We start from the raw sequence: 8,332 nt of genomic DNA, 5'->3' as shown, positions 1-8,332 counted from the left end.
CAATAGTCTTTATTTTCTATTTAAGCAATAAGCCATTAGAACTGGAATGGGAAAAATGGTCTATCCACAATAGCAACAAAATCTCATAAAAGTCTTAGAAACAAATTTCATTGGGATGGCATGGGAAATTATAAAACTTGTTAGCATTCATAAAATGATATATACCAAATGAAAAGAAATATGTCTTCAAATTGAAAGATTTTATTAAGTTGAACTCCATGAATATCCCATATACAGATGACTTAGAGATTTGAGTATAAATAACTTAAAATTATAAAGCTATAAGTAAAAATCTGGGAAGTTTCATTTTAAATTAATTTTAGGTTTCTAGTAACAAGTACTAGAAACTCAGAGTTTGTAGGGAATAAAATAACATAAATATTTGATTTTTTAAAAAAACCTGTATTCAAAGCTACTCTAAGTAAAGTGAATTGACTGAAAAGAAACTGGGCAAAAATATTAGTACCACAGATGAAAAAAATGTTAATATCTATTTTATAAAAGAGTTTTTTTCAAATTGGCAAGATAAAACTAAGCAATCCAATATAAAATTAAGCAAAGAATGTGGATAAAGAGAAAACGAAAGAACAAATTAGAAAGATCCAGAAACATAAGAAGAAATGTTATTATTTTCCAATGATCAGGGAAATTCAAGTTAAATAGTTATAACTTTATATACTAAAATTTATTCAAATAATGGAATCCTTAACACTGTTAGGAACATTAAAAGTGCCTTCTCATACATTGTTGGTAAACGTGTGTATCACTGCAATTGTTTTGTGAAACAATTTGGTAGTATCTGCTAAAATTTAAAACACATACATCTTTTAAACCAGCGATCACAGATTTCAGAATACATTCATTAGAAAAAAAGCACCACTACATAAGGTATTTATTTAAGGCCACAACAGCCTTATTCTTAATGATAAAACAAACTAAAAGCCAATTTTTCAAACTAAAGATAATGTCCACGAATAGAAGAAACAGTAGGAAAAAAATGGCTATTCACAACATGGAATATTATGCAGCTATTACAAAGAATGAATTATTTCTCTTGGTTGACCTGAGATAGTGTTGAATGAGAAGAGTAAGATACAGAAAATCATGTGCTTATACAATTCCACTTTTTATATAATAAATAATATTTAAACATCCTACATGTGTGTGAACCCATATCTGATTTAGGTTACATGAGGCTGAAGTTGAAAAATATTAAAGGACAATACTAGGATGTTAATATGGCTTGTCAGACAGGTACAGGGCAGGGTGCCCTGACATGCATGTGAAAAATAAAGGTAGGAGGAAAAGAAAACAAGTAAAAAAGGGGGGAAAATAATGTTGAAAATATATATGTTAAAAATCACATTTACATATTTAATAAAAATTGTATATCTGTATAAATATAAAAATAATTTCCTTCAAAAAAGAATACTGTAAACTACATTTTTGCTTTGCAGATTTGAATATCTATAATCTTTATTTTGCTAGATTTCTGCATGTTCCTAGAACAGTTCAGCAGTCACGTGCTTCTCTTGACACTTCTCCGGAAAACTGTGTTCAATTAGGAAAATAAGCTCGTACTTCAAGAGAAGTTCTAACTTCTTTTTTTCCCACCCACATGAAGATTTTCATAAGTAGCCCATTTCAATTTTTCAAAAGGTTTCTTGCTAAATCTTGTATTGTGCCTAGATAGACTGAAAATGTCTTGGTCATCAGGTGTTCCAATAAAAATATAACTAATTTATTGACATTAAGCCAAATATATTGTTTGTTGTGGTGAGAAAAACAATTTTTCAAAAATGTTTAATCAGAAATAGACATGTTCTATGAACACAGCAACTAATCTTCATAGCCTGACAATTAAGGATTTATCTTTTTCTTCTTCGTATGTTAGTTTCCTGAACATTTACTATGGATATGACCTTTTGTCTCTTTTTAATCCTGGGTATACTCTAGTATCTTTCATACATGCTGAAACCATATGAAATAATTTGTTTCTAAATGATTTTATAATAAAAACTAACTTAGCAGAAGTTCTAATTAGTAGCTTCTTAGTGCCTTTGTTTTCTCGTCTATTAGAATGAGAAAAATAGGCCGGGCACGGTGGCTCATGCCTATAATCCCAGCACTTTGGGAGGCTGAGGCGGGCGGAACACCTGAGGTCAGGAGTTCAAGACTAGCCTGGCCAACATGGTGAAACCCTGTCTCTACTAAAAATACAAAAATTAGCCAGGCATAGTGGCAGGCGTCTGTAAACCCAGCTACTCGGGAGGCTAAGGCAGGAAAATCGCCTGAAACCGGGAGGCAGAGGTTGCAGTGAGCCGAGATCGCGCCATTGCACTCCAGCCTGGGTGACAAGAGCAAGACTTCATCTCAAAAGAAAAAAAAAAAAAAAAAAGGAATGAGAAAAATAGATTTGTTTTAAAGATTAAGTAAAATAACACAGAGAAAGTGTTCAGTGAAGCCTTCTTTCATTCACTCAACTCCTACTTCTTTTCATTTTTCTTTTTTGATGATTATTGTTTGAGAATGTTTCATAACAACATAAGTACATATGGCATAGATGGAACTATGTAGTATACACTAACATTGTATATGGTTTTTTGAAATGTTAAAAATAAATAATGTTCTCATTATTATTACATTGGGATTTGCAGGTCTCAAGTTGGGAATGATTTGCTTTAACATGAATCAAATCTCCTTTTAATCCTCATATACAAGTCCATGGTCCTTTCTGTCAACTGATTTTGGCTCCTTCTGCTGTCTCCTCTATCACTTGGTTTCCTAGGTGTCCTATAAGCCTAAACTCAAGTGCCACTTTCTTTATTGAATTCCTACATTGTTTTAATAAAAAATCAATGATCCATTCTTTTTCAACAAGTAGTTATCAAGTGCACACGTATACAATGAACAAGACAGTGTCCCAGAATTCATGGCATTGTGGGAAACATAAATAAATAATTAGCAACCAAAACAGAGTGAATGCTTTTCTATTACTTTTTTTAATGCTCTAATCTCACGTATCCAAATTCATCTTGAGGTCTGGAAGGCTTTCTAATCAAAGAACTAATTAGGAATTAGTCAGATGAAACAGGAATGAGGAAGGTGAACTTCAGAAACGAGAATGAGAGAAGACATAACTTTGGAAAACACTCAGAAATAACAAGCAGCAGAGTATGTAAAGAACTCAGCAACAAATTCAGGAAAGCCGAACCGAAAATGTGGAAAAGAGACAGAATGTATGGACCACACAGTAGGTGAGGTATTTGTTGTTCATTTCATCTCCCTATGTAGATTTACATTCCATGTGAGAAATAACCAAGTCTTCTGACTTTTATTTACTATTAATAAATATGGCATAAAACTGGGCTTCTAGTGGATGCTCAAAGAATACTTACTTTTGGCTTTTGACACAGCTTCTGTGTGAGTTTTGGCTAAAATTACTATTACATTTCCCATTTTAGCAAAAATTTCATGAGTATCATAATGATCTTAAGTGCCTCATTTGAATTCATAAATGTCTGTGATTCTGTCCTCTCTGAGTCTCTAGGGATGTATATTCCAAGCATAAATTTTTACTGAGATGTGTCACATGGCCTTGCTTGCTCTGGGATCAGTAAGGGCAAGCCCCTGCCAAAGTAGTAAAGCAGTGATGTTTGTTTTTGAGGCTGACCATCCTTCTTCCTGCACTTCCCTTCTCTTTCTTAATGTCATTATAGCCACTTTTCACCCCCAAGCCCTACCCACACCCCAAAACCCGCACCTGCTACTAGAACATCCATGCAACCCTCTGGTTCTCTGTGACATTAACTTCACAGTTAACGCTAAAGATCTGTAGAGAATTACCCTTACTTTGATTTTTTTTTGTCTACAATACTCAAATATAAACCACGAAGGGAAGAGAGGGTTTTGGCATTGGCCTAAGATGTACTTTAGCTTGTGATGGAAATGATAGTGACTAAGAGAGGGGTAATCAGATTTCTGAGAAACTTGATAAATTCAGCTTTACAATATGTTGCATCTGAAGTGTTTATAAAATACATATGGCAGACAATTGAAAATTTGTGTTTGGAGCTTGTTGAAAAGTCTAGGCAAAAGATAAGAATTAGCCACAGAAGTGGCTGTTGAAGTCATGAGTTTATATGCATTCACCCAAGAGACTGTAGAAATTGAAGAGAGGGCTGAGCATGGAGCCCACTGGAAGACCAACTTTTGAAAGAGGCATGGAATACGAGAGCCCTGGAAGGATATTGAGGAAAAGTTGCCAGAGAGGTAAGAGAAGATCAGGAGAGCATAGCGTCAAAGAAGCCACAGAAGGAAAGACTTTCAAGAAAGATAGACAGGTCACCATGTAGATGGTATTGATTGTGTTGTCTTTTCAGCAAGGCCTTTTCTAATTGGGAACCACCCCTCCATTATCCCTTGTAGCTATAATGGTAGTGCCATTCCCAGAGTTCTGCCTACACTCTGGCACAAGGGTAGATATAGAACTCATACCTGATGAGTCATAGCACAGGATTTCCCTCTTTGTAAAGATTGGTCCAAATAAGTAGGAATGTGATGAAAATAGAGCCCGAATTTTTTCATGTCAGAGTGGTTTCCAAATCATGTTGATACTGTTTCCTTAAAAAAGCCACAAAAGGCCAATGAGCACATACATCAACTGTGATGATTAATTTAACATCAACTTAAGTGGGCTATGAAATGTCCAGAAAGCTGATAAAACATTATTTCTGCGTGTGTGTCTGAGAGTGTTTCTGGAAGAGGTTAGCATTTGAATTGGTAGGCTGAGCGAAGAATTCTGATGGGCATCATCCTATCCATTTAAAGGCCTGAATAGAACAGAAAAGGCATAGGAAGGGAAAATGTGCTCTCTACTTGAGCTTGAACATTCATCACTTCCTGCTCTTGGACATCAGCACTCCTGGTTCTTGGGGCTTTGCACTCAGGTTGGGACTTACACAATCAGTTCTGTAGCTTGCAAATGGCAGACCATGGGACTTCCCAGTCCATGAACCAATTCCTAGGCTGGGTGTGGTGGTTCACATCTGTAATCCCAGCACTTTGGGAGGACAAGGTAGATGGATCAGTTGAGGCCAGGAGTTCAGGACCAGTTTGGCCAACATGGCGAAACCCCATCTCTACTAAAAATACAAATATTAGCTGGGCATGGTGGCACACACCTGTAGTCCCAGCTACTAGGGAGGCTGAGGCACGAGAATTGCTTGAATCTGGGAGGTGAAGGTTGCAGTGAGCCAAGACTGCACCACTGCACACTCCAGCCTGGGTGACAGAGTGAGACTCTGTCTCAAAAAACAAACAAAAAAAAAAACAAAACAAAAAACAAACAAAAAAAAGCCCCAAAATAAATAAATAAATACAGAAATACAGAAATAAATAAATGATCTCTTTTTATGTATATTTCTCTATATATATTCTATTGGTTCTATCTCTTTGGATAACCCTAATATACCAGCTATGAGTGTGTAAGAGTGATAGGTTACAGATCCTAGTGAAATTGTTCCCCAAAGAGTTAATAACTATTAATAAGAGTTAATAACAATAACTAACATAAATTCTTGAATTTACAGGACAGCAGATAAGAAAAGAAAGAACTTGCTGAAATTCTGAAATGTCCTCCACTTGTAAGATAATAAAATTGGCAGAAATTGGTTGGAATCAACACGGCCAACTGGAGTTCGCATAGAACGAACTTGCTGATGCCACAGCCTGAGTTTCCATTGCACGTTTTACACTAATTCCCCCAAATTTGCACACATGATCTAAGAGGTAGCATGATGGAATAACTGTGCATGGCCAAAGACTTCCCACACCTCCCCTTTCCTTCCACCAATCACTTACTAATCCTAGAATCCACACCTTAGACCTTTTCAGATAAAATTGCTGCCTTAAAGCCAGCACAGGGAGACAGATTTGAGCTGGACTCCTGTCTCCTTGTTAGCTGACTTGCAATAAAAAGCATTTCTTTTCTAAAAAACCCAGTGTTGCAGTATTGGCTTCTAGTGCATCAGTCAGTGAGCCCCTTTACTAAAATCTACTGTTTGAAAATCAACCTTATTTTCCTGGCTAGATCTTAGTATGAAACTTAGGAGGTAGTAAAACAAATCCAACATTTTAAAGATGTTCTTAAATATGAAGCTCGTGGATAACATTGATTTGGATGATTCTTTTGTTTGGGAAAACATTTGCAAGAGAGATATATCATAGCAATATTAACACTTTGAAATGAGGTCATTGTCATAGGAAAAAGAAAAAACTGGAAAATTTCAATTTGCAAGAAAAAAATCTCCAATCTAAAGAAAACCTAGGACTGGTCATCATGCAAAATTATGATATTAAGTCACAGGGTGTCTCTCAATTTAGGCTGCTAACTAATCTGAAAGGCAAAGAGGATCATAGACTTTTAGATTGGGAGGACCTTTAGAGATTATCTAATATTCAAACCCCATGCTTTTATAGAGAAGAAAATGAGGCTAATTTTCCACACCATTCAACTGGAGGCATATCAGAAACTTGCACCAATTCTCAGCTCAGTGATATTTCCCCCTTGCCACACTGGGCTGGGATTATCCTTTCTTAAATATTAACGGGAGCACAACCAGCCTCTGACTTAAAACAACTCAAATGTTTTTATTATGAAATGCTTCAAGCTATAAGGTTAAGTAGGGGTTCACATAAATAATGTGATTAATACTTTCTGTGACCATGTGCTTTGTCTTTTCATAATTGGGATGTGAACATAGTTCACAGTAGCTAAGAAGACCCTGTTCTTTATAAACGCTATGCAACAGCTGCGCAGTATCACCCTGGCTCTTGAAAGTTTATGAAGTAAAGCAAACTACTGAAATAGCATTAACTTTATTTGGTTTATGAGAGGTATTTTTGACTAATTACATATTCTGACCAAGATTAGTAACATTATTTCATAGTTTAGATTTCTGACCTGAGTCCACTTTTTTTTTATGACCACACTTAGGAATGGCGGTGCCCTGTCCTATCAGTGGCACATTAATAATAGGATTATGGAGAACTGTCTGATACATCCAGCTCAATTCCATGTACTCCCACAGTCTTCCTCAAGGAGGCACCAGCAGGAACCCTGGAGCATGCATTAAAGTGTGCTTTCAGATGCCTAATAGTTGCTTCCAGCTTGACAGACTTCATGAAAAAGTCCACAAGACTTTTTTTTTAAAGGAGCTTTAGCATGCTTGTTTCTGTAAACAGCATTCTTGTGTCTGTAAATACCACGACCAGAGTTGGCAGTGAACCTACAATATCATTACCTGATGTACTTGCAAGGGGTTATTATGTTCCAAATTTACATGATGTGAACTTAGGTGATGCACAGTCCAGATACCCCTTAATGAAGGACTTGTTGGTAATGCCGTCAGCAGATATCCTTCTGTTGTCAACACTCCAGGGCTTGCCTCTGTTGTGGATAGCCATCTTGCCCAAGGTCAAATCCTTTCCTAGATGACCCATGTCCAATGACAGATGGCAAATAAAAGTCTAACTATCTTGGTTTAACTTAGGACAATGCTAATGTTCAATTTTACCTCCAAGGGTCCTCATGGCATTGGCCAATGTTCTTTCGGGACAATCACTGCAGTTTGGCTTTTATTTTTTCCCATTTCTGCTTCCTTCCACTCCTCCCCCCAAATATTAATTCCAAGAACACTCCTTATGAAACATCTTTTATGTGAAACTTTATGTCAGGGTCTGATATACAGACCAAAGTTTGATTTATTACCTGGGGTCCAATATAATTATTTACCTGACGGTTGGGCAATGCTAGGCATTGAAAAATGCATTAAAAAGTCAACCTGGTTTTCAGCAGAGTGGAAAGCAGTGCGCATCATCAATATGACACCAAATTTTCTTCAATAATGATTAGAATATTCTTTTTTTGTGAAATGTGGGCCAACCTCAGACCTCACCTATGTACTCTTAAGCAGTTTCGACTGAGTCATGTCTAGGCAATCCTGCTGAGACAACTGGTCAGACACAATCATCAGATACGCGGCCCTGGGGAGGAGTCAGGACCCAAGTGAATGTGCTATGGTGTTGGGTGGGCTTGAAAGGAAGGTGGGTAATAGGTTTTTTGACTTATCCTCTTGCTATTGTCTCTGATCAAATGGTGAACACCTTGAAGCAGGGATAATTTTTTATTCATCTCTGTCATTTTAGTGCTTATCTATGTCTGGCACATTGTAGACAGTTTTCTTAACTTGAGATCATCCAGACTCTGAGACAAAGACTTGAGAAAAGTAGTTTGGAAGTTCAGGAAACACTGATGTGGAAGAGGGAAGGT

At 36.6% G+C, this 8,332-nt stretch overlaps 1 annotated feature.

Moving 5' to 3' along the window:
• Positions 4,415–4,709: a silencer, noted in NCBI's record as "tiled region #7038; HepG2 Repressive non-DNase unmatched - State 24:Quies". NCBI's record gives its function as "represses a minimal TATA promoter and a strong SV40 promoter by Sharpr-MPRA in HepG2 cells {active_cell/tissue: HepG2}" and the evidence as "EXISTENCE:reporter gene assay evidence [ECO:0000049][PMID:27701403]".

Source organism: Homo sapiens, chromosome 5, assembly GCF_000001405.40.
Source record: "Homo sapiens chromosome 5, GRCh38.p14 Primary Assembly".
NCBI classification, from domain to species: Eukaryota; Metazoa; Chordata; class Mammalia; order Primates; family Hominidae; genus Homo; species Homo sapiens.
Note: the sequence above shows the minus strand (reverse complement) of the source record. Positions and strands in the feature narration are given on the sequence as shown.